Raw genomic sequence first — 24,748 nt, forward strand, 5'->3', positions numbered from 1 at the left:
CAGCAAGGGGACTTTCTACCTCTATGAGAGCAAGAGTTCAACAAAATGTAGCCAATGCCTGTAGGTGATGCCATCCACACAAGTGACCTGGGGCCTCCAGCTTGACCTACAGCTGTCCAGGGCCCTACTTGTGTTATCCCCACCCCTGAAGGCTTAGTCAGCAATCTTTGCCTTTTATTAAAGGGTGGTTTGAAAGGAAGAACTGCAGCTCTCCCTACCCATTTCTTGCACAGTGTTAGATATTTTAAAAGCATTTTCCTTTGATCTTTCCAGCAATAAGCACCTTTGAGCTAGGTTAAAGATTTCAGCTTTGGAAGATGGGCAAGCTGGGACTCAGCAATGTTAAGAGCTTTTCAATTCAGTAAGTATTCCACCTGCCAGCTACTGCCCTAGGCACTGGGCAGAATAACACAAATCCCTGCCCTTGTAGAGCTTCGGTCTAGTAGGGAGGAGACACATTATCAACTATGGGCATTCTATAGTATGTTAGGAGGAGTTCATGTTTGAGAAATCCCAGCAGAGTAGGTGAGATTAGGGATTCTGGGTTGGGCAAGGGCTGGAGGCAGCTTGCAATTTTGTATAAGTAGTCAGAGCAAGCCTCCAAGCCAAGGTGATGTTAAGCAAAGGTTTGCAGGAGGCGAGGGAGTTAGCCATGGGGTTATCTGGGGGAAGAATGTTCCAGGCAGAGGGAACAACCCTGCAAAAGCCCCAAGATGGGCCATGCCTGAGTGCTCCAGGAAGAGCCAGGAGCCCAGCGTGGTTGGAACAGAGCGCTTGCAGGAAGAGCTGTAGCGGGGGCAAGGGAAGCCATGCTGTGGGGGGCTTTGAAGTCACCATGAAGACTTAGGCTTTTCCTCCAAAATGGGAGCCAGGGAGGGTTGGAGCAGAGGAGCATTATAATCAGGACTTTATTTTAAAAAGGTCACATGACTGCTGTGTATGGAGGCAAGGGTGGGGCAGGTAGAATCCTTGGGTGGCTACTACAATAATCCAGGTGAGAGGTGGTGGTAGCTCATGCCAGGGCCTTAGCAGTGGAGGGATGTGGCCAGATTCTGGATATATTTTGCATAGTGAGCTCTCAAGATTTTCTGATCCATTAGAGCAGATGAGTCAACCATGACCTTAAAGGTTTTGACCTGAGTGATGGGAAGGATGGAGTGGAGTCAGGCAAGGTTCAGGCCAAGTGGGTGGGGGAAGATTGAGGAGCTGAAGTCCTGGGTGGTTGAGTTTGAGATGCCCATTTGATATCTACGCTGGACTTTTGAGTAGGTGATAGACCAGGATTACCTGAGCATATTAGGAGCAGCTGGTAGGGGAATTAGGATTTCTCTGATCTCTCTGTCCAAGCCTCTCTCTGCTACTCCATGGTGATTTTCTCTCTTCCAGTGGTTTTGAAAACTAGATAGTAGAAAGCAATTTATGTCACAAATGTCATATTTGCTTTAGGATTTGAAAGCTAGAATTTCCCCAATTCCAGGGGCCTTTTCCTTAAATGCCTTGGTGGAGCTGGCAGTTCCCCCCGGTGGTGCACAAACCTTCGTGCAAATATCCATTTGGCATGTTCTGTGCAGGGATATGGGTGATCATGCCTCTTTCTCTCCCTTCAGAATGTGAGGTCCTAAAGGGAGGGCTGGCTCACTCATCTCTGGGCTTCCCATCAGGGCTCTTGGGGTGACCTATACCTGGAGAAGTTAGTGTGAGGCTGAGGTACACCAGGGCCTCCCAGGGACACCTGCCTTTACTGGGGAGTCTTGGACATCTTTTCCTATGGCTCTCCTTCTTTTGGTTTTCCTCTTTTTATGAATTGCTCATTCACAGTGTTTACCCATTGAAAAAATTGGGTTGTTTGTCTTTTTCTTTTTGATTTGTGGGAATTCTTTATATATGTTGTCTACTAACTGTGTGTTATTAAGCAGCAAATATCTTCTCTCAGTATGAGCTTGTGTTTTTATTTTGTTTTTGATATCTTTCATTCATAGAATTTACAAATTTTGGCTCTGCATGGTGGCTCATGCCTGTAATCCCAGCACTTTGGGAGGCCAAGGCAGGCAGATCACTTGAGGTTAGGAGTTGGGAGATCAGCCTGGCCAACATGTGAAACCCCATCTCTAATAAAAATACAAAAATTAGCTGGGCCTGGTGGCACGCACCTGTAGTCCTAGCTACTTGGGAGGCTGAGGCAGGAGAATCCCTTGAACCTGGGAGATTGCAGTGAGCCGAGATCATGTCACTGCACTCCAGCCTGGGCAACAGAGTGAGACCCTGTCTCAAAACAAAACAAAACAAAACACAAACAAAAAACAAAAAAAGAACTTACAAATTTTACTGTAGTCAAGTTCATTAACCTTTTCCTTTATGACTTGTCCTTTTTGTGTTCCTCAAGAAATCCTTCTTCGTAGCCAGACCATAAAAGATGCTTACCCATATTTTTTCCTAAAGGTTTTACTTTTCATGTTTAGATTTTTATTTTAGTGCGAACTGATTTTTGTATGTGGTACAAAATGAAGATCTGCTTTTATATTTTCCTTTATGGAAACATCTGTCTCCACTATTTTATTTTTATTTTGTTAATTATTTTTTATTGTTATATAGATATAAATTAGGGCTTGCTACGTTGCTCAGGCAGGTCTCGAACTCCTGCCTCAAGAGATCCTCCTGCTTCACCTCAGGATTGCAGCCTGGAGCCACCGTGCTGCCCAGTCCTCACTATTTTTAATGCCAGCTCACACATTGTTTCCACATATGTGTGGATATGTTTCTGGGCTTTTTATTCTGTTCCCCCTTCCTATTTGATGGTTCCTGGGTCAATACCACACTGCTTTAATGATTATAGCTTTATTATAACTTCTGATATTTAATGGGATAAATATTCCTATCCACTTCTTTTTATTAAAAATTTTGCTGGTATTCTTGGCCCTTTGTTTCTCAGATATTTTTCAAAATCATCACTTTGTCAAGTGCCATGAAATAGGCTGTTGAATTTTTATTTGAATTGCATTTAATTTATAGCATAATTTTGGAAGAACCAATATCTTTATGATGCTAAATCTCAAGAGGATGGTAAAACTACCTATGTATTTACATTTATTTTAAATTTTTTCAATGATTTCTTAGAACTTTTTCTATAAAGGCATGGCTGCACTTGTGCAAATTGTGTATCTCAGTCTAGTGATGCCCCCTGGAGTTGTGCAGTGTACAAAGTTCATGGCTGCACAGGGCAACAACGTGTACAAGTCTTGTACAAATTTCTTAACTTTATTCCTAAGTACTTATAATTTATATTGTTATTGGAAGTCGTACTTTCAAAAATTTTCATTTTAAAATGTAATGTTGCTGGCATGAGTGCACACACACACACACACCATCATCATCATCTTATATCCAGTGAACTTGCTAGACTCTTTTCTTTTAGATTTTTTTTTTGTGCATAAATCACATTATCTGCAAATAATAAAATACGTTTTTCTCTTTCTAATCCTTTTACTTTCTTTTCCCATTGCACTGGCTAAGACCTCGAGCACAATAGTAAATGAAGTAGTTATAGAGGATACTTTTGTCTTTGACTTCAAATAAGTTATGCTAGTGCTAAGTATGATTTTTTCACTGGATTTCGAGACACAGACTTTATCGAGTTAAAGAAGTTTGCTCTTATTCCTAGTACGTGAAGAGGTCTTTTCATTAAATTTCAAAAGTCTATTTATAGGGAAATAATAATAATAATTATTATTAAGCAGTAGCTGGGATTACAGGCACCTGCCACCACACCCAGCTAATATTTTTATTTTTAGTAGAGATGGGGTTTCACCATGTTGGCCAGGCTGGTCTCAGACTCCTGACCTCAAGTGATCCAACCGCCTTGACCTCCCAAAGTACTGGGATTACAGGTGTGAGCCATTGTGCCCAGCTGGAAATTATTATTTCATTCCCTTTCTTTAATTTTAACAATTGCAGTGGTGAATTGCATCAATATATTTTCTAATAGTAAATCAATCTTGCTTTCCTGGGAGCAACTTGATCATGATATATTTTTGTATTTATTCATCACTGGACTTGGTTTGCTAATAATTTATTTATGATATAGGTATCTATGTTCATGAGTATAATTGGCCCATAATTTTCCCTGTTTGTATAGTATTATCCTTGTTTAGTTTTGCTCTCACAGTTACTCTAGACTTCTAGTGAGCTAACGTTCTATCTACGCATTGGAATAGTTTGTATAATGAAATTATTTATTCCTTGACTGCTTTTTAGAACTCACCCTAAAGCCATCTGGCATCTGGGCTTGATTTCAATCTCTCTGTCTCTGTCTCTCTCTATAGATTTTTTAAGCTCAAGCAATCCTCTCGCCTCAGCCTCCCGAGTAGCTGGGACTACATGCATACACCATCATGCCTGGAAAATTTTTAAACATTTTTTGTAAAGATGGGTTCTTGTTATGTTGCCCAGGCTGGTCTTGATCTCCTGGCTCCAAGCAATGCTTCCATCTCAGCATCCCAAAGTGCTGGAAGTACAGGCATGAGCCACTGTACTCAGTCTGTTTTACATTTTTATTGAGTGGCTGCCATGAGCTGACTTTTTAAAAAATTAAGAACACAACAAGAAATATTTTCAAAGAAAGGAAATATATCCTCTCCCAAACTCGAGTAAGCCTTATGCTTTGATGACTCACAGCCCTGGGTCCCAAGGTTACTGCATCTTCTAGTTCTGGTTTCTTCAGCTCAAGGAACACTTACTTGCATCTGGGGCTCTTCAAGAATTCTCTGGCTGAGAGGACTCTTGGCAATGGTGTATGTTGGGCCTGGTTCATCTGTGTGCCAGGAGGGAGACTGAACCTCAGCATGCATGCCAGGAATTTTAGGGCAGGGATCCCCAATTTCCTCCTTTCCTGCATCATCATTTTCCCCCTTGCTATCGGCTCATTCCCACCACATGCCAATGTGCTGCAGTTTCTCCTGTCTGGGAAACAGCCTTCTCTGATGCTGCCTCCTCCTCCAGACACTGCCAGGCATGGGGCATATTTGGAGCTGGAGCTGGCAGGGTGGCAGGTGGGTTGGTTGCCTTATAGAGAATGGTGTTGTGGCTGTCATTGGGACATTTTGTGTTTCCTCTTTGCTCTTTCGGGATCTGCAGGCTGCTCCAGGTGAAGCTGGAGTTCCTGAGCTGCGGGCAGGGGTGGAAAGGATCACAGCAGGGAAGGCCCAGGCTCTTCAGGCCATTTATTGCCCATGAAAGACTCAGGGGAGCCTGGAGCGTGTTCTCACCTGGTCTCCAGATAGGACCTGCCTTCCCTGCTGCCGCCAAGACCTCTGGGGCCTGTGGGAAGTGGGGCTCACCTCCCAGGCACAGTGTTACCTCCTGGACCCAGAGGAGGTGTGTATTAGGCTGTTCTTGCATTGCTATAAAGAAATACCAGAGACTGGGTAATTTATCAAGAAAAGAAGTCAGATTGGCTCATGGTGCTCTAGGCCATACAGGAAGCATGGCAGCGTCAGCTTCTGGGGAGGCCTCAGGAAGCTTCCAGTCATGGTGCGAGGCAAAAGGAGGGCAGCCATGTTACAAAGCAGAGTGGGAGCAAGTGAGAGGGTGTGTGTGAGGTGCCTCACACTTTACACAACCAGATCGTGGGAGAACTCACTCATTATCTTGAGGGCAGCACTAAGGGAACGGTGCTAAACCACTCGTGAGAATCCATCCCCATGATCCAATCACCTCCCACCAGGCCCCACCTCCACCGTGGGGATTGCAATTCAACTTGAGATGTGGGCAGGGACAACTATCCAACTCTATCAAGGTGGTGATGCAGCCTAGGGGGCCCTTCTGGGTCACTCCTTGGGCTTGGAGAGACTGAGCCATTGAGGGACGTCAAGTCCTAGATAATCTAGGATTGGCAGAGCAGGAAGGAGAGAGACTCAATGATGTTGACTTCCAGGGGCAGGTAGATGGGCCCTTACCACAGGCCATGGACAGCTGCTGTTCTGCTGACTGGCTGCGGCTCCGGGTTAGTCCCTGCCTTGTCAGCACCAAGGCTCCAGGCGTCTCCAGAGAGCCAGGGTTCGCTCCTGTTCCCCCGGTCAATAGGGCTCAGAAAGCCCAGGCCTCAGGCCCCCTTCTGAGCTGGGGGTGGTACGCGGCAGGGACACTTTCCCAGACCCTGCCTGACCTCCCTATCACTGCAGTGTGGTCTCCTGGGCCTCACCTCCCTCCCTTGTCCCACAGAGATACCTCCTGCAAGAAGCCAGAAGAGCAAAGAAGGCCGTGTGTGTAAAGAGCCCAGTGCTGGTAAGCACTTGTAAGCATGGCTCCCAATCCTGTGCCTCTGCCTGAGATGGTGGTGAGGCCGGCCCTGGGCCTCGGTTTAATCATTTGCTAATCACAGTGAATAATTCAGGTTCTCTTAACCTCCCAGGACTACTGAGAGAAACACATGGAAAAGTGAAAAATGCGTAATCCAGACCCAGGGCCAGCTTGGCCCCCAACCAAGGCATTTCTCCTCTGCCACCTGCTAAGCCCTGGGATCCACTGCCCTCTTTACTGGGATGACTGCCTTTGGCTGTTAAGGGCTGGCACTTGAGTCGCCTCCCCCTGAGGAGCTCCCAGCCCATCTGCTCCAGACAGGACTGGCACAGGCTCTCCCCTGTCGCTGCAGCCTCATGCCCCCGCCACCCCAAAGCTTATCATGTTCTTCTTTGCCTCCTTATCTGTCCTCCTGGGCAAGAATGAGGTCTAATTCAGGCCTGAATCCTTGGATTCAGCAAGAATTTTTAAACAAATGGATGCACAAATAGCTGGGTGAGAGCCAGTGAGCTGTGAGCAGAGCCCAGCTCAGGGAGGGGCAGTGGAGCCACACTCAGGGCTGGCAGGCCCTCACTGGGTGTGAAGATGCCCTGGGTTTCCAAGTTTCCAATCACGCTGGTGTTTAGCCAAGGGCGACCCCAAAAGAAGCCCCAGCCCTGAAGAAAGATGGGTCCTGAGGCCACACTCAACATCCCTGCCCTGCACTGGGCTCCTCTCTTGGGTATCCTCTTTCTAAGCAGCAACATCTGGCATGGACTGAAAGTTGAATTGTGAAAATGAAAATGCCTCTCTATTGGTTTTATGATCATCCCTTGTGTAAGTCACATTACGAGAGCTGCTTTTGGCGTGGTCTCTAATTCCTCACCACTTCTTTGTCTTGCATCCTGCTCCATGGCCTTCCTCCCAAGCCATTCTACCGATGACCCTGGCCTTGAACCCTCACATTGTCAAATCCACACTCCCCACTCCCTCAGCAGCATCACCCTGGGTGACGACACACGTAGCCTTCCTAAGGCCTTTGTGACCCCATTCTGTGTGGCTTACCCCTTCCTTCTCAGACTCGGTGAGACTTGTTCCATCTTCCCAAGGTTCCCGAACTCTGTGGGCCCTCGTCTTATCTCCCCGGCCAGCCCATCCATCACGTGACCTCCAGCACTGTGGCCTGTGTGTGCCAGGCCCTCCAAGGAGCTCAGGTACTACCTGATCCCATGACTTGGATGTCCAAGAAATCTCTCAAACTTGACGTGCCCCAAACTTAATCACTAATTTTTCCCTTGAAATCTGTTCTCTCCCAGTCTTTCTCAAGTCTGTGTGAGCCACCTCTGTCCACCCAGTTTCTCAATGATGAATCTTAGAAATTGTCCTGCTTCCTCTTATTCCCTCACTCTCTGCATCCAGCTCATCAGCAAGTCCCACTGGTTCTGCTTTCACATGTACCCCCAATCTGTCCACGTCTCCCTACTTATTGCCTGGGTCCCCCATGAGATGTAAGCTCCCTTAAGTGCAGGGACTTTGTTTTGCTCACTATTATGGATCGGACCCAGGACCTGGCCAAGTGCCCACTGCCAGTGAGTTCTAAGTTCCCCGTTGTTGAATGAATGACCGAGTTTCATTTCCTCTAGCAAGGAGCCCTGCAGAGTGGGACTGGGCCCCACTTCCTCTTGGGGTGAGTTATGTCTAAACTAAATGGTGCCCTTCCCTTCCCTTGCCTTCCCTGTCTCAGCACAGGGCACCCCACACCCAGGATTTCTTCTCAGCCCAGTCCCCTCCTTCCATACTCATCTCCTGTGTGGGTCACCTGCCTCTGGTTTCTCGGCTCTACCAGCTTTTTCCATCTCTGCTGACATTGCCCTGGTCCCCATGTGTCATTTCTCACCTGAATAGATTACTTTGCTTCTCTAATCCCCTCTCCACAAAGCAGGGTTTATGTGATCTTTTCAAAACTCAAATCGGATCACGTCACTTTCCTACTTAGAACTCTTCAATCTTCTCCTGAGGCCTGATGGTAAAATCCCACATCAGACACGGCACTGCTTACTGTGCTCTCAAGACACCCCCTGTGTCTCCCACCTCCACCCCTGCTTGGCTGGCTCACGTCAGTCTCACCTTGCTGGGCCCTCAGACCAGCTAGGGACCCACTGCTGCCCAGTCCCGGGGGAGCTGCTTCTCCGATGCCTGTGGCCGCGTTGAAGAGCTGTGCCTGTGATTTTGTTATTTGTTTGAGGTGCCGCCAGGCAGTCAGTCTCCTTGTATTCCAGTCCACGTAATTATCGATGCTTCCCAGGTTCTGCCCTTCAGCCTCGACCTCTCCCTGGGCCCTCGGCCTGGTTACCTGACTGTCCACTTGAGAGCTCAGCAGGGATGTCCAGCAGGTATCACAAATGGAACATTCCTGAACACCTGACTCCTGCTCCCTGCCCATGCCCAGCCACGTCTGCTCCTCCCACAGCCGGTGCCAGCCCAGGCACCCCAACATACCCCGTCCTCACACTTGTAGTCAGTTTTCACCTGCTGGTTCCACCTTTCAAACATACCCTGAGTCCCAGGGGCCTTCTAAGCACATTTGACACCCAGAGGTTATAACTTTTTCTTTTTCTTTTTTGTGAGATGGAGTCTTGCTCTGTTGCCAGGCTGGAGTGCAGTGGTGAGATCTTGGCTCACTGCAGCCTCGTCTCCCTCATTCAAGTGAGTCGCCTGCCTCAGCATCCCGAGTAGCTGGGATTACAGGCACCCACCACAACACCCAGCTAATTTTTGTATTTTTAGTAGAGACAGGGTTTCACCGTGTTGGCCAGGCTGGTCTCGAACTCCTGACCTCGTGATTTGCCCGCTTCCGCCTCCCAAAGTGTTGGGATTACAGGTGTGAGCCGACGCTCCCGGCCGGTTATAACTTTTTCTAACAACCCCTGTGCCATGGACTGAAGGCTTGTATCCTCCCGAAATTCATGTGTTGAATAACCCTAAGCCCCAAGTTGTTGGCATTAGGAGTGGGGCCTCTGGGTGAGATTAGGTCACGAGGGAGGAGCCCCGCTGTGGGATTCCTGCCTTTTAAAACAAGAAGAGATACCAGATTTCTCTCTCTTCTTTCTGCATGAAGCAAGGAAAGGTCAGGTGAGGACCCCGACCACGCTGCCACCTTCATCTCGGACTTCTGGCTTCCAGAGCACAAGGAGGGAGTGTTTGCTGTTTAAGCCATCCAGTCTATGGTACTTTGTTACAGCAGCCTAAACTGACCAAGACATCCCTCTTCTGTATGGCAGAATTATTATCAGTCATAGTCAAGAGATAAAACTTATAATCATGTCCAGAAAAAAAAATGCAGAGTGTAAAGTGTCTTAAATTGAACTTTGTATGTATAATCATGGCATGATAAAAGTGAATACTTTTTTTTTTTTTCTTTGAGATGGAGTTTCACTCTTGTTGCCCAGGCTGGAGTGCAGTGGCGCGATCTTGGCTCACTGCAACCTCCGCCTCCCGGGTTCAAGCAATTCTCCTGCCTCTGCCTCCCAGGTAGCTGGGACTACAGGTGCCTGCCACCACACCTGGCTAATTTTTGTATTTTTAGTAGAGACGGGGTTTCACCATGTTGGCCAGGATAGTCTCAATCTTTTGACCTCGTGATCCGCCTGCCTCCGCCTCCCAAAGTGCTGGGATTACAGGCGTGAGCCACCGCGCCCGGCATTTTCATTTTTAAAGATAGTATTTAAAATCAGTAATATTTCATGTATGAACTAATATGTATATTTGTCAAACAAAAAATGTTATACCTTGAAGTTCACAGTTTTATCACTTTACATATTTTAAACACAAATAAACATCCCAAGTGGTCCCATAGACTGACAGAGTTGAAGTAACTGATGTTCTGTTTCCTCGTCTTTATTTTGTTTTCGGTTTTTTTTTTTTTTTTGAGACAGGGTCTTCCTCTGTTGTCCAGGCTGGAGTGCAGTGGTGCAGTCATAGCTCACTGCAGCCTCAAATTCCTAGGCTCAAGTGATTCTTCTACCTCAGCCTCCGCTACCATACCTGGATAATTTTTATTTTTATTTTTGCAGAGATGATGTCTTACTGTATTGCCCAGGCTGAATTCCCACCTCAGCCTCCCAAAGCGTTGAGATTATAGTCATGAACCACCGTGTCCGGCCTTCCCTTGTCTTCATAATTGTGCTGTTAATGTTTATTGTAAATGTCCCGTTTACTTGAAGGGGTTGGACACCTGATTTGGCCCATGGTGGCTGGTGTGATTCTGAAACCCGTGAACTTCGATGAGAGCTGGTGCCCATGTGGGACCACCCGAGCAGCTGGGAGCCCTCTGAATTAATGTGTATGTAGAACACAATGCTGACGAGAGGAAAAGTGACAGAGGTACAAGCTTGAGGTTCACACACGTGTTATTAGAACTCAACAGTGACTGCAGCAGTGGTAGAAATAAGATAAACAGAACAGTTTTTGCAGGAGTAGTATTTTATCAATGAATATATTATTGTCTGCACATGGTGATGTTATGAAGCCATCAACTTTTCATCAGTGTCATTGGTGGTGTTAAATTCACTGTGGGATGTGTACCCCTTACCGCCTTCACCTAGGCAGGCCGTCTCTGCACCCTCCCTCGGTGCCTGCCTGTGGGATCTGACCCCTTCTCACCATCTTCCCTGCTGCCGCGATGGCCCCAGCCCCCACGATGCCTCCCCGGGATTCCTGTCATTGTCACTGTAGTGGGATGAATTGTGATTCCCCTCCAAACATTCATATGGTGAAGTCTGCACCCCAGGACCTCAGAATGTGACTGTATTTGGAGATAGGGGCTTTTTTTTGTGTGTGATCACAAAGAGGCCACATTTTTTTTAATTGACAACTCAATCTCTACATACATACAGTACTGCACGAATTATAAGTGGATCAACAATTATATTATTGATACAAACTCATGAGCATTTACATAAAACTACCACTCTAGGTTTTGGTGTGTTTTGTGCCAGCTACTTTAGTGAATAAACGAAACATAAAGGAACTCAGCTACTTGAATTCATGAGAATTAGCTTTCAGAAAAAGCATATATATCATCTCATAGAATACTTATTATGTCAAACCCAGGAAAATCAGTAACTAAGTGACAAAAGGAACACTTTTAAGGAAAAGTTGGTGATAAATATGTTAGGCTAAAATACTAAGAACTTTAGCAACTGGACCAAGGAACCAGAAAGTGTATGCACACTGGGAATTTTAACAAAAGATCCCCACATTCTCCTGTACAGTGAGGACCACATTCCAAAAGCATATCTGGGTTGCTACAATGTCGTCTCTGCTACAAACCATTGTTTCAAAGGTGAAAGAAACAAGATGGTAATTCACATATAAAGGTTTTAAAATTCTTCCCACTCAAAATAAAATAAAAATAATATAATCTCTATCAAATTATAAAGAAATTCTATCAAAATGTTGACCACATAAAGAAGTCAGACCATTTGCCTTCACTGACTGCCTCAGAGGGCAGAACATGTGTCACCTACAAGGAAGGGGAGAGGGGGGTAGAGTCCCTACTCTCCCCCGGCCTGTGGAGTCAGGGTAGAGAGGAGCCCTTTGGCTTCCCTGGGGTTTTGCTTCCTCACATAGGGAATTGAGGGAGGTGGGCTAGATGGCTTTAAGAGACTCCTCAACTAAAAGAATCAAAGTCAGCTTGAGATCCCATCTCTGAACAGACATATAGGGTGGCAAAAGAAATGGATTAAAAAAAAGGTGGATGACGTCTTTCTCACCTTTTGATACCATCACTCAGAACTAATCTGTACTATAGTTGAAGAAAATCTTTGCCTGGTATTATTAAAGGGTATGCAGTGAGGCAGCTGAAAATGAAATTTTTCATAAAAATGTATAAAAAGGCTGTGTTAAGTTTGGGTGGAAAAACAATGCACCGCCACATTACTACCAGCAGTCAGGATGTCCTGTCTTGGATTTTAGGCGTCGCCGATCTGGTTGGGAGAAATGCTGAGGGATGTTCAAGCCATTCAATAGCGATCTAAGGAGTGCACACAGTTGAGGAAATGGATAAACAAGTGCCCAGGAAGGCAACTTTAATGAAACTGGTTCTAAAATAAAGGATGCAAGAGACCTAAATGATCCAAAGAGAGTGATGGCTTCTCATTTTCTGTCCCCTATAGAGAATATAAATATCATTTCTTCTAGAATCCAATACACTGGCTTCATTTTCAAGATGTATCACTTTATTTTCCAGCACGTGACAGTCACATGATTTCTGCATTGAACCCCAAAGCTTCCACCAGCTTTCCTGGAACCTACGGCCAGAAGAGTCCTGAGATTTCAAATATTAAAGCTTTCTCCACAGCCACAAGTCCCTTTGATGTTTGGGTTACTGAACACAAACTCACTGGATAATTTGTCTTCAACATAGCACATTTCTGTTCCTCAAAGTGTTAGCTGTGCTTTCTTTTCGATGAGCACTCTGACTCCATCTTGAATAACTTCTTCTTCAGAATCTCCTTTTGTCTTTGTATATTCTAGAGTATAAGAAAGGCCATTACAGCCCCTGGTTCGGACACCAACTTTTACACCTACATGCTCAGGCTTATCTTTAAGAAGTTGTTTTATCTTGTTTACTGCTGAAGGTGTCAGGGTGAGGGCTGCCCGGGTGGGCTGCAGCTTCCTCTTGCTCACAGCCTGGACAGTTGCCCGGACTAAGGAAGCCGACATCTTCGCCGTCCCGATGCCCCGGTGCCTCGGGCCGGAGGTCGGCCGCCTCAGCCTCTCTCCATGGACACGGCGGGCGCATTGGAGATAGGGGCTTTAAAGAGGGGATTAAAGTAAACAAGACCACATGGGCGGGGCCCCTATCCAAGGTGACTGGTGTCCTTCTGAGAAGAAGAGATGAGGACACAGATACCCAGAGGGAAGGCCATGTGAGGATACGGGACAAGATGGCATCTCCACACCAAGCAGAGAGGCCTGGAAGGAAGCAGCCCAGCTGACACCTTGCTCTCTGGCTCTTAGGCTCCAGAACAGAATGACAGGAGTCTCTGTCAGCTGGTGGCATTTGCTGCGGGGTCCCGAGCTGGCCAGTGCATCACCTAGGAGGTTCCCCAGCCCCCCTTGCCTCCCACCAGTCCTTCCTCACCACAGCAGCACCATGCTTCTCTGCTCCAACCACATCCCGCTTCTGTGCAGACCCCTCCAGGGGTCCACAGAGCCCTGGCAGGAGCCACAGGCCCCACCTGCTCCACTCTGGCCGCTAGCCTGCTCCTGGGCCCCAGGCCTGTCATGCTCCTCAAACACCCAGGTCCTCCCATGGCTGGGCCTCTGTCCTTGCTGTTTCCTCAGCGGGAATGCCAGTTCCTTGGTGTCCACATGGCCAGCTCCCTCACAGACTTCTTTGTCTCCAAGCCACCCCTCAGTGAGGCCTTGGAGTTCACATCCTCTACCCAGCATGTCCCATGGCCCTGGCTGTCCCCTTCCTCCTTACTGCATTGAGTCTTGTTCTAACATGCTTTGTGAGCATCCTGTGTGTGCCACCAGATCTCAGCACCTGGACCAGGGCTGAGCACAGAGCAGAGCAGGGCATGGTGGGGGGCAGTGACTCTCCCGGGATGACTGAGGATGCCAGCCCTGCCCCACTCTTGAGGGTAGAGTGTCAGCCTGGGGCACATTAGCCTCCATTCCCAGGGCCTTGGAGCAGATTTACAAAGACAGCTAGATTGCAGAACTAGCTCCCCAAGGCCTGGCTCTTCCCATAGGAAATGAAATGGGATTTTGGAAAACAAAAGTGGAGAAACTTGAGGGGCTGTGGCAAGGATGTGGGGTTAGTGAAAGTTTCTAGAAGTTACCCCACCTGTGCAGACATCGGGACACAGGAGAAGATGGAATCTTCACGCCAAGCAGAGGCTGGAAGGAACCAGCCCAGTTGACACCTAGCTGGGATCAGCCAGGTATACCTGAAATCTCGACAGAAGAAGGGCTTTGGGTGGGAGAGGGGCAGGCCTAAGTCACTGCCCACTTCATCTTGGGGCACACAGGGCAGGGCAGAGCTGCCTTTGCTGAGTCACCAGGCACACTTCAACACTCCGGCCCCAGCCAGGCACCCAACAGGATTACATCAGCAGCCTCAGTTTCTTCCCCATCCCTGGCCTTTTCCTGTGAGTCCTCCTTATGGAGACCACACTCCTCCCGGGAGGGGCCTGGCCTTTAAGCCCAGGCCATGCTGAACTGCCAGTGGTCTGGATAGGCCCTTTGAAAAGGCAGGTACTTTCAAAGTGTCATTTCAGGGTTCCTGGGAAAGGCTTTGGAGTCAGACGAGTGGGGTCCTTCTGCAGGTGAAGACAGGCAAGTTATTTCCTTCTGAGCCTCAGCTGTCACCTGAGGAGGGGCACACTGGCCTGGCAGGTACAGGGGAGGGTCAAGGATGGTGTACGGGAAACTCCCGTCCTGTGGTCTGTGCTGAGTCAATCTGGGGATAGCACTGTCTACAAAAACAGCGGCAATAGCAGCGATGACAAACAGGAGGCAAGTGGGCGTCTCCAGGCCTGGGGACCTGGCTGCCGGAGACCGGATGACTGGAAAGACCACAGGCACCTGGCACAGCCACCTCCTCCTTCCTGACAGCTGTTGTGCCTGACGCCTCAAGGCCAGTGACAGTGCTGGGGCTCTGAGGTCCCCAAGTGACAGGGCTGCTCGCTGACCACAGGGTCATTTCCCCTTAAGGACCTGAATACAGCCCAGCCCTAGTCAGCCTCATGAAGGGAGAGAGGACCCTCCTCTCTCCTGGCTCTCCCCTCCCCAGGAAGCAACCACCTTCCTCTGGGGGCAAAGGACCTTCATTTCACAGGCAGCCTGTCTATGTCCAACAGAGCTTGTGGTCAAAGCGCCTTTCATGAAGGCTGCCATGTGTGTTCAATGTGTCTAGGGCTGCAGGTCTAGGGACTCCTTTTATTAACTTCAGAGCCTGACTGATGGGACAGAGAAGGCCACAATTCCCTTTGGGAATCAAATTCCATTAGAAGTGAAGAGATTCTCTCTTGCTGGTGATGGGGTGCTCATAAGAATGGGGGGTCTCAAAGGAGAACTCTAATAGTTCTGAGGTCCCCTTGGCTGATACTTGAAGATGACAATGGCCTGTCCCTGAGGAGCCTGGAGAGACATCAGATCCAGGCCATGGTGATGCAGTGAAGCCCTCCGGGGTTGGGCCCTTGGAGGGCCATGTGGGTGACAAGCATCTCAGCCCGCCTGTCCCAGGTTTAGCTCTGAAGTTCCGTCACCCTAGCATGGTCTGGCCCCTGCAGCTCTGCACAATTGTCCACAACATCTGGCCAACACGATAGCTACAGTCATGAACATCCCTTCTGCCCTGGCTATGGGTCCATCCCCCTCTGCTCCCACTTTTGATCTTCCTGATGAGATCAGGGTAAGGACTCCAGGGGTGGTGTCAATTAGGCCCACGGTCAGGCCCTTGGTGCCCCCTGACCCTGGAGTGCTGCAGAGGGAGAAGGGGAGGGTGTGTGTCTCAGGATTTAATGGCTTCTAATAGACCAGAAAGCAGCAGTGCAGCCTCCAGGGAGAGGAGGTCCTCTGCCAAGGGCTTGGAGCATTTGCACAGGAAGTTATTCTAGATTCCTGGGGGAAAAAGTTGTCATTGAATGATGCCTGGATTAAGGAACTATTTAGTACACTTCTTTGAATCCTAGGTCTATCATTGTGTGTAAAGCTCAGCTTGATGCTCCTCCTAAATGGGGTTTAATGCTATGTGTGTTCTCGTGGAATGCAGCTTTTTCCCTAATAAGATGCTTCCCAGATCACCCATACCATCGTCTGTCCCTTTGGTGCAGTTGTGCTGACTGAAGTGTGGAATTCCGCCTTGTGAATGAGCCGCATTCTCTTCTGTGTGGTACCTGGGGTGTCTCCACAGTTTTGTTCTGTGAATGCTGCCATGAACATTGTTGTCCACGCATGCTGGTACACATGTGCCAGAGTTTCTCTCAGATATATATCTAGGGGTGGTGCTGCTGGGCCTTAGGGTATGTGACTGGTCCACATTGATACGCCAATTATTTTCCAACGTAGCTGTACCCGTGTGCCCTCCCACCAGCAGAGCGGCTGTGGTCCACACCTGCATCCTCTCTCTCTAGCACAACCTCTCTTTAGACCCTTCAGTTTCTGCCAAATGAGTGTAAAATGGAATTTCACTGGGGCCTTGATTTGCCTTTCTCTGATCACTAATGAGGAACGACATCTTTTCTCATGTGTATTTCTTCTGTGAAATGCCTGTTTGTGTGTTTTGTTCATTTTTCTTGAGTTTTTTTTTTTTAATATGGATTTGCAGCAGTTTTTTATTGATGCCCTCTTCAATCACCTTTTCATCTCTGTACTTTAGTTTTGTGCCTGGTTTTTGTTCAACTTGATTTAGGGACTCCTCATTGAGCTGGGGGAGAAGTTTGCCCTCCAGCTTCCAGCTGGAGGAGCCGCACAGGGTGTACGTAGTGTGAGCCCAGGGAGGTGTGTCTGGGCTGGCACCTGAAACTTCTCCACCTCCTCAGATGCTACAGTGAGTGAGGGAGGTGAGCGAGGGAGCGCCCTCTGTGAGTTCACCAGCGCGGAGACTGAGCACCCAGTGCAGACATCTACCTCCCTGCCGCAGTGTGTGAGGGGTGGGACTCTTATTTTTTTTACAAAAACATTTTAATAACTTACAGGTGAAAACTTCAAAAAAAATCATACTCAGCTAAACAAATATTTTATCAAAGTTACATGTCTATGAGATTGAAGGTGTGGAAAAGCCCCACAGGACTCGCTAGGCAAGGCGGCTGTCCCTTGTCCCACCTTGCAGTTTCTGGGTCCCTGGAGGACTCCAGCCTCAGCTGTTCTTTTGATGGTGTGTTCATAGCTCTAAGTAAAATGCTTGCATGGCTAACTTTGACTTTCCAGTTTCTGGTGTTTCCCTTTTACTCCCCTCCCTGGAAGGTGGGAAAGTAGGCAATACCACACACAGATTCCCCACACTTCCAATCCCCCTTTGTCAACAACACAGTTACATCCTAATTCTGGGCCGCTTGAGAATACTATCGTTCCCACACTCCTAGGAAAAGACCCATTATTCAATAGCCATGGCAACAAGCAGCAGCAGAACCGGTTTAAAACTCTTTCAAAAGCCTTAGGAAACATGTTTTGTAGCCAACCAATCAGTGTCAGCCCCTCACTGAAACTCAGTCAATCAGGGAATGAACTACTTGACTAAACCCAGGAGTGCCAGCCAATCAACCACAGTCTCTTTCACCCAATAACCTTCAAGGGATGGGTCATGGCATCATCCCCGGCCTGGTGGTCCACTAATTCCTGCATTCCCAGCTCTGCTTCCTCTGGGAGGCTGCCTGAGCAGCAGTGCTTTCCCTTGCTTGAGATGGCAGTAAGTTGAGCTCTGCTTTTTATTTTGGAGTTGAGGGTGGTCCCATCATCCTTGACAAGATTAACACCCAGTGTTTATACTGTGACTTTGTGACTATGTTAGGGCCTTTCACAGCCAAGCCCATTCCTGCATAACTTTTTTGTTTTACCTGCAGTTGATGATTGCTTTCTATTTTTCACTTACTTCATTTTCTTTTTCTTGCATAACGTTTTTGTTTTGTCCAGAGTGAATAATCATCTGTATTTTACATTTATCTTTTTTGTCCTTGTCCTTAACTGATCCCCAAACTCCTCTCCTATTGCCGGTGCCCCTTCCTGTTGGTGTACATTTCCTCTCATGGTGTTCCAGTACATTAGCTGTTCCATCCATTTCATTTTCCTGCAAAGTCTCCCTGGGAGCCCGTGACCTCCCAGCTGTCCTGGCCGTTCTGGCCCTGCTGCTCAGCCATCATGGAGTCTACTTTCATTGCTGGACTGGAGACTGTCCTCAGCTTTCCGTCCCATTGGACCTCTGTTTCCTGCAGCCCTGGCAGGATGATGCCAGCCTTGATTATGTCATGCCCTTGATTTGGAAAAGCTCATTTCCTGAAGGGCTGGAAGGAAGGGTGAACGGGAGGGCAATCCGAGGGCCTGCATGTCTGAAAACGTCAGACTTGTTTGGCTGGTGGTATAAGCTGAATTGTGTCCCCCTGCCTCCCAAGCTTGCATGTTGAAGTCCTAACCCCAGTGCTTCCGAATGTGACTGTATTTAGAGATGGGGACTTTGAAGAGGTAATTAAGGTAAGATGAGGCTATTATGGTGGGACCTAATCTTGTCTAACTGGTGTCCTTATATGAAGAGAAGATCAGGACACAGGCCATATAGAGGGATGATCTCATGGGGACACAGGGAGAAGGTGGCCCTCTACAAGCCAAGGAGAGAGGCTTCAGGAGAAAGCAAACCTGCCAACACCTCAATCTTAGATGTCCATCCTCCAGAATTGTGAGAAAATAAATCTCTGTTTAAGCCAGTCTGCAATACTTTGTTACAGCAGCCCTGGCAAACTTATACAGCGGTATAGAATTCTCTGATCAAAATGATTTTTCTATAGAATTTTGAAGATATTGCCATATGTATAGATATAGGTTTTTTTAAAACAGATTTTAGAATTACTAACAAGACTCTCTGGCATTGTGATTCCTGGATTATTACATCTAACCCAGGTCAACTTATTTTTATGTCTCTCCTGAAAGCTTATAGGATTTTCTGTTTGTCCTCAGTGCTCTGAAGTTTGAAATGTGGCTGGGCATAGTGGCTTACATCTGTAATCCCAGCACTTAGGGAGGCTGAGGCAGGAGGATCACTTGAGCCCAGAAGTTTGAGATCAGTCCAGGCAACATAGCAAGACCCTGTCTTTACAAAAAATCAAAACATAAGCGAGGCATGGTGTCTAGCCCTTTGTAGTCCCAGCTACACAGGAGGCTGAGGCAGGAGGATTATTTGAGCCCAGGAGTTCAAGGCCTCAGGGAGCCATGATCATGCCACTGCACTCCAGTGTGGGTGACAGAGTGATACCCTATCTCAAAAAAAAAAATTGAAATGTAATGATGTCAATCTCTTCTATCCCAAGTATTTTCAGTTTAAGTTTACTGCCTCCCACCCCAACCACCAAACTTTTCTCCCCTGGCTCAGTCCAGGCTGTGGAGAACCGTGTCTCTGGGAAACCGAGGCAGGGCTTCAGAGCTGGCAGGAGAGAGCCAGGGGGCCTCTCTTGCTAAGTGTGTCTGGCCCAGGCTGGGTGATTGCTGTCTCCCACTGGCATCTGATGGGACATCCAGGTCCTGCCTTGGTCTGTGGCGCCTGGCACTTGACACATACTCTGTGTCCTCTCTGCATGGGACCCTGAGGCCACACGTGTGCACCTGGCCATGCTGTTGCTTCTCTAGGCACAAGGCACTGAGGAGGCTGACTCAGGCCTTCTCTGTTGCCTCCTGGGGTCTCTACAGGAAATGTTCTCACAGCTCTGGGGGTGCCCTGAGCTTGTCTGGTGGTTGAGTCATGCCTACTTTTGCAGCTGAGCTGGGGCGGAGGGCTGAGGGACAGGAGGTCTTCAGTGACACCAGCTCTGTGGCTCCCAACCCCGCCCTCCTCCGCCCTAGCCCCGGGATCCCATCTGCTCTCTGTTGGGGAAAGAGCAGGTAAGGTGGTACCTTCTGTTCCATGGCTCATGTGGGAACCCTGTCTCTTGCTGGTCAGACCCCTCTTCTCCTGGGGTGGCATCTGTGCCCTGGGCTCAGGCATCTCTGGGACTCTACAGGAGGCTGCTGCATGGGCTGTCTGCCTCCTGCCTGCTCCTGGATGGCCTCAGCTCCTGGAGCTGCCCTCGTGGCTCAGCCCTCCTGGCTCACTGTCTTCCCGTGACTTCTCTCCGGCGCTGCTGCTTCTCTGACCTGCCCCTGCCACCCTCCCTCTGGTTCTCCTGCTCCAGGCAGTGCTCCTTGGCTTCCTTCAGCCACCTGACTGGCCTCAGGGCCCTTGCACCACTTCCCTTGCCTGGACGCTGCCCCTGTCATTCAGGTCCTCTGTGTCTTCACCAGAGGGGCCGCTCCTCTTCATGTCTCGAGAGTCTGTCTTCCCTTACCTTTGTAAGTGTGCTTATGGAAGAACGCAGGATGCTGAGAGTGCTTGACCCTCTGTGCTTTACTTCACGAGTGGTTTCACAGCCCCAAACTTGGCTTCCAAGGGCAGGACCTCACTGCTCCGACGTGCAGCCTCCAGCCTGACTCCGTGACTTGTTTGGACGCGTGGCGCTTGGATTAGTGACTTTGAAGCAGAGCTTTGACTCATGCCACCACTTTCTCTCTTCTGCTGCGAAAATCCTTCCCTGGGAGCATGACCCACACCAAGCCCCTAGGCTGCACCGCTTCCCAGCCAGGAAACCCACGCACATGTGCACAGGAGGCAGTGGGGCAGCATTCCTTTGGCAGAGAGCAGCTCCCTGAGTTTGTGCTCATTCGATCTCTGGAAATCACTCTATGCCAGGAGCTTTCCTGTCTGCTCTAAACCTCTGAACCAGGAGAGCCCCTGTCACCCTGAGCTAGGCCCTGCCTCTGAGCTCAGAGGCTTATCCTGGGAGGAGATGATTCCTGGGCCTGCCCGATGTCCTCGCTGGATGCCTCATCTCCTGATCTCCCGTGTCTCTTCCCAGGCCTGCTCTCCACTTATGCCTCAACACAGGCATAGCTCAGTCACTCCACCTGTTTTGACACCCCTCACACCCGCCCCAAGCCCCATGCATCCTCACTGGTGGCTCCTCCTCTGCCCAGACTCCATTCTCCCTTTCCTGAAGTTAGGCTCAGACCCTGGGTGCAGAGTAGGGGTCACGCTCACACATGATGTAATTTGTGGGAGATGAAAAAACAACTGTCTCTACAATGCATGCGATATAAATCAAGAAAAGCGGCAAAACCCTTAAATTCTTCATCATTTTCATGGGCCAAATAGAGATGAAAGCTGTCTAAGATTAAGGGTTTAACTGATTTTAAAAATTTTGCAGCCGGGCGCGGTGGCTCACTCCTGTAATCCCAGCATTTTGGGAGGCCGAGGCAGGCAGATCACGAGGTCAGGAGATGGAGACCATCCTGGCTAACGCGGTGAAACCCTGTCTGTACTAAAAATACAAAAAATTAGCCAGGCGTGGTGACGGGCGCCTGTAGTCCCAGCTACTTGGGAGGCTGAGGCAGGAGAATGGCGTGAACCCGGGAGGCAGAGCTTGCAGTGAGCCAAGATCTCGCCACTGCACTCCAGCCTGGGCAAAAGAGCGAGACTCTGTCTCAAAACAAAACACACACACACACACACACACACACACGCACACACACACAAAACCAAAAAAAACACTTTGCTGGCCTTCTCTGCTAATTTGTTCGTGTGCTGCTCTGCCTGGGAGAGCAGGTGATTAGCAAAGCGACCCCACTGCTCTAGGCCGTGCCCAGGACAATCCCACCGACCCCTCATCCTCTCGCCCCACCCGGCTGGCCATGAAGAATTCCAAGAGGGCAGCAGAGTGCCCAGATTGCACTGCAGCCCTCAGACCTTGGCCACCCCATGTGCTCAGTTGGGCTTTTGTTCACCAGTACCTGAGGACTTGCCCTGGAGCCACACTGGCTGCTCTGTCCTCTGTGTAGGACCCACAAGAATACCGGAAATTAACATTCCTCAAAGCTGTCCTCAACCAAGGACACTCAGGAGTTTGTGTGCAAATCTGCCAGCTCCCTCTCTGGGCAGGGATGACTCTGAGGTGTGTGTTCTGCATGTTCCCCAGAGTTTTCCTATGGAATGAAGGCTGCCTGAGCTGGTAAATGGTTATCAGCTGGCTCTCTGCGGGGAGGAACCTGACTTGTAGTGTTCACTGACTGCTGTGGTCTAAAAACTCCCACCAAGGCCAATTTCAGCCACTCTTGTGACGTCACTGAAGGTGGAGCTGGGAGGAGATGCCTCCACCGTCAGCTCTTGCTGGCAGGTGCCTGCCTGCTCCAGCACTCCAGGGATCACGCTGTCCTCCATCTTTCCTGCCTTCTCTTTCCTGTCTTCCTCTACCTCCCTCCTGCTGGGATCCTTGCACCTCTCAAATAAACTACCTCCACTTGAATCCTCGCCTGGGGCCTGCTTCTGAAGGAGCACGCTCTGAGACAGTGAAAGGTCTAGAAGGGGCCGCAGAGATCATTCATTTTGTGGATGGGGAAGCCCCCGCCCAGAGAAGGGAAGCAACTTCCCAGGGTCCCAGCTGGGCTGCAACAGATGCAGCTTTGGAACTCCCGTTCCCTGACCACCAGGCCTGGGCTTGTCCTTGATTGCGCCTCCTCTACAGCTTTATGCCTGAAAGCCGTCCCAGCTGCATGGAGACTGGGGTCACATATGGCCAGAAGGCTGGGGAGAGCATTGTTCTCCGTGTCCGGGGGACAGGCCTTCTGCAAGTGAGGTGCTGAGGAGCCCTGCAGCCCTGGGTCCTGGCAGGACAGTGGGAGGGGAAGAGTGAGCTTGGGGTAAGGCAGCTAGGGTTCAGGATTCTCATTGGATCATTTCTAGGGTGAGCCCGGATACATCACTTTCATACCTGCAGCCCGCCCATCTATATACAGTAGTGGCAGTGATGCTGCCCAAAGAGCCTTCCTAGACCCCCACTTAGTGCCCAGCACATGCTGATCCTCAGGGAGTGGTGAGGATGAGAACGGTGAGGAGGATGCCAAAGAGATCAATCACAGAATATCCTCTAAGACTCGGCCTCATCATCTGCAAAATGGGAGTATTGCATATGTCAGCAGACCGGGCTGGCTGACAGGCACGGGTGAGCCAGTGTGAGTGAGCAGATGAAGGAGTGAAGTGGGGGCCTGCACTGCAGGCAACCAGGGGTCGCCACGACGCTGCCTTGTCCTGCGTCCTCTGGGGTCCAGGGCTCTTATGAGTCACTTTGGAGGCAAAAAACATCCCATCACATTTGTGGTCCTGAGCACTCAACCCCCTGGCTCCTCTCATGAGAAATGGGTCAACCACAGAGCTGCCATGGCTAGAAGTGGGTGCCAGGCTGTGGGCTGATCATTGTATGGAAAATGCAGATCATTGCTTTGCCAGAATAAAGGGGGCAGGGTGTGGGGTGGGGGGTTAAATTGGATCTTTGTCCTGCACATTTGGAGATAATAAAACTATATATTTAGAAAGTATATTTATGTGGCCGGGTGCGGCGGCTCATGCCTGTAATCCCAGTACTTTGGGAGGCTGAGGCGGGTGGATCACCTGAGGTCGGGAGTTCAAGATCAGCCTGACCAACATGGAGAAACCCCATCTCTACTAAATACAAAATTAGCCGGGTGTGGTGGTGCATGCCTATAATCCCAGCTACTTGGGAGACTGAGGCAGGAGAATCGCTTGAACCCAGGAGGCAGAGGTTGTGGTGAGCCAAGATCATGCCATTGCACTCCAGCCTGGGCAACAAGAGCAAAACTCTGTCATAAAAAAAAAAAAAAGAAAAGAAAAAGAAAGTATATTTATGCAATTCCTCATGGCAAATTTCCCTTTGTTCTTCTATTTCCTGGTGAAATAAATTACACAATGATTGGTTAACTGGAACATTTAAACTTTTATTGAGGATAATTATCAAATGTTTGCCATTGGAATTAGCAGGAATTAAAAACAAAATCAAATGGAACATTTGCAGCATTTTGAGCTTAGGCTGTTCTGGACAGGGAGGCAAGCGTTCTGTGCTGAGGTGAGAAGGGGTCAAGCTTCCTTGTCCCCAAGGACTCTCCCATTGCAGAAGGCTGTCCCGGGTTCCAAGGACTCTGTGCCCAGGCCGCCAGGGGTCTGAGGGGCAGCCCAGTGTGGGGAGTGGGCAGATTTGGGTCCATACCCTGCGGGGCCTGTGTGACTTGAGCCTGTCTGCTTCTGCTGCATTTCTGTCCCATGGTTGTCACACCCACCCTGGATGGTGATGAGGATGCAGGATCCACAGGGGAAAGCTCAAAGTCCAGTGCCTGACCCTGGCACAGGGTGGGCATGGGGCACTCACTAGTTCCCTTCTCTTCCTGTCTCACCACCCACTGTTTTTATTGAGCAGCTGTTGTGTGCACATTTGTTATAGGCCTGGTCCCTGGTCCCCAGGGACTCTGATTTCTCCTGGGCCCCTTTGAAAAAGAGTGTGAGGTAATGCTGACAGTAACCCACCTGCAGGAGTGGGTCCTACCCGTTGGCCACCATTCCAAGTGTCCATACGATAACTTTATCCAGCCTTACCAGGAGTCTTCTCCCCACTTTACAAGTGAGGAAATTGAGGCACGGAGAGATTAAGTAACCTACCTTAGGCTCCAAATCCGGAGTGGTAGAGCTAGGATTTGAACCCAGGGCCCACTGTCATAACTCCTGTGCTCTGCCTTATCCAACATGCATGGTCCTTACATGAACAGAAGAGAGCATGGGAAGGCTAAGGATACCTGGGAAGCCCTCCTGAGGCCGGGTGGATGGGGTTTAGGTTGGCCGTGGGGCTGACTTTGGAGGGTGCTGTGGCATTTTTCACAAAAA

General features: G+C 49.1%; 1 long non-coding RNA gene and 1 pseudogene across 1 annotated transcript in view; one reads left to right on the forward strand and one right to left on the reverse strand.

The window, feature by feature from the left end:
* LOC105373611 (uncharacterized) overlaps positions 1 to 24,748 on the forward strand; it is a 241,632-nt gene that overhangs the window by 103,576 nt on the left and 113,308 nt on the right. The gene's annotated exons all lie outside the window — the stretch shown is intronic.
* ISCA1P6 (iron-sulfur cluster assembly 1 pseudogene 6) lies at positions 11,111 to 13,079 on the reverse strand (annotated as a pseudogene).

This window comes from Homo sapiens, chromosome 2 (genome assembly GCF_000001405.40).
Source record: "Homo sapiens chromosome 2, GRCh38.p14 Primary Assembly".
Lineage (NCBI taxonomy): Eukaryota > Metazoa > Chordata > Mammalia > Primates > Hominidae > Homo > Homo sapiens.